General features: G+C 49.3%; 1 annotated feature.

The window, feature by feature from the left end:
• Positions 861-1,360: an enhancer, noted in NCBI's record as "H3K4me1 hESC enhancer chr18:33328223-33328722 (GRCh37/hg19 assembly coordinates)". NCBI's record gives its function as "activates a minimal SCP1, AML or CMV promoter by ChIP-STARR-seq in primed H9 embryonic stem cells {active_cell/tissue: H9 hESC(primed)}" and the evidence as "EXISTENCE:reporter gene assay evidence [ECO:0000049][PMID:30033119]".

Raw genomic sequence — 1,733 nt, 5'->3', positions numbered from 1 at the left:
CTGGATTGGGACCCCTTTCTGGTAACAATAATAGGCAGAATGGGGAACCCCGTAGGCCTGTGTGTTCAGATTCTTAGCCTCTCTGTGCAGCCTTTTTATGAGAAATAAAAATAAAATTCTAAGCCCCCAAATGACTGAACGGGCCCTCTCTTGGCCAACGGGACTCGAAAGAATCCTTGAAAGCTGATTTCATGACGATGACAGGATGGGAAGTCAGACATGCCTTATTATGGGATGGGAGGTCAGACTCGCCTCAATTTTTTATCCCCTTCCTTGCTAACTATCATTAAGCTTTCTTTTCTAAGGAGTAAACAGAAACCAGCCCTTTCAAAAGCCTCCACATTGATAATGTTGATTACTTGCTTATCTTCCCAGGTACAGAACAAAGATAAAATGAGATTGATCATCCCTTCACCCCTCCCTGAGACATATGCTTCCTCTATTCCCATTTTCTTCCAATATTCACTTTATCTTACATAAAATGTAGATTTACTGGGCACATACACAAGTATGTAATCATTCAGCTCACTGCCATCCGCCCCATACTTTTTAAGGAAAATGTATAAATACAAAACCTCCTGAGAACGTCTTTGGAAGAAAGAGCCACAGATGCATCTGTGACTCGTGTTTTTCCCAGGTGCATCCCCCAAGCTGGCTCCATAAACTTCAGTGATCTGAGACTTATGCTTCAATCACTCATTTTGGCTCCTAGGTATAGGGCAGGACTATTTTGGAATGAGGGAGACAGGAGAAGGGAGAGAATGACCTTTCTAGGTTTTATGGCTTGCTTTGGGGGAGAGGGATTGTAGTTTCTAGGATGCATCCTGGGGAAGCTGAATTATGGTTCCTATGACTTGCTTCAGGGAAGAAAGAGGAAAAGGAGATGGGAGGGCAGGAGAAGATCAGAAAGAACTTGCGTCTGTGACCTTCCAGTTTCCTTCATTTCAAAGTTCTCAGCATGCCAAAGCCCCATGCTTCAGGGTATTGTTTTCTGAGCCCCAACAGGGTCAAATGCATCTTCCTGGCCCATCCATTCTGTTATCTGTGGTCAGCTTGGTTTTGGCCATCTGAATCTGTGGATTCCATCATCCTGCAGGTCTTCCTGGATCTGCCCATGTCCTGCTGACTGCTGGGGCTGGGTGGGCAAAGCCAGGCTGCCCCCAGCCACAGGAGCCCTGCCTAGGCTGGCACTTCCCCCCCTGGGGGTGGTGGTAAGCCTCAGTGCTGGGCTGGCTTTTAAAATGTGTGGTCGGTGTGAGCACTGGCTTGTTTCACCTCTGTGCATGTCAGACTCTGAGGAAGTCACAGCCTAACATGCTGCACACACCCCTGCACCTGGAGTCTCCTCGGTATAAGCAGAGATAGAAAGCCCAGCTGCACCCTGCTGCCTGGCACACAGTAGGTGCTTGGTAAATATTTGCTGAACAAATGAATGAGGAAGTCCCCAACCTGCCATCTGACAGAGGCCACCCAGAGCCCTCTGCCTGTCAGGGCAGGGGACTGCCTTCGAGATCTTTTATGGCCACATCCTTTATTTAACTGAGGAGCAGACTGAAGCCTGGGCGGCAGGTGATTGACAGAAGGTGTCATAGCACGTTGTGGGCAGTGCCTGGCCAGATGGGGCCTCTGATCCCCTCTACTGATACAAGTGAGGCCCCCCAAAGGCCGAGGCTCATTCTTTACCCCAGGCTTGAGCTGGGCCTGGGGACTGGGGGGCCGTGGATGGTCACCCC

Source organism: Homo sapiens, chromosome 18, assembly GCF_000001405.40.
Source record: "Homo sapiens chromosome 18, GRCh38.p14 Primary Assembly".
NCBI classification, from domain to species: Eukaryota; Metazoa; Chordata; class Mammalia; order Primates; family Hominidae; genus Homo; species Homo sapiens.
The sequence above is the reverse complement of the archived record's forward strand: the minus strand, read 5'-3'. Positions and strand labels throughout refer to the sequence as shown.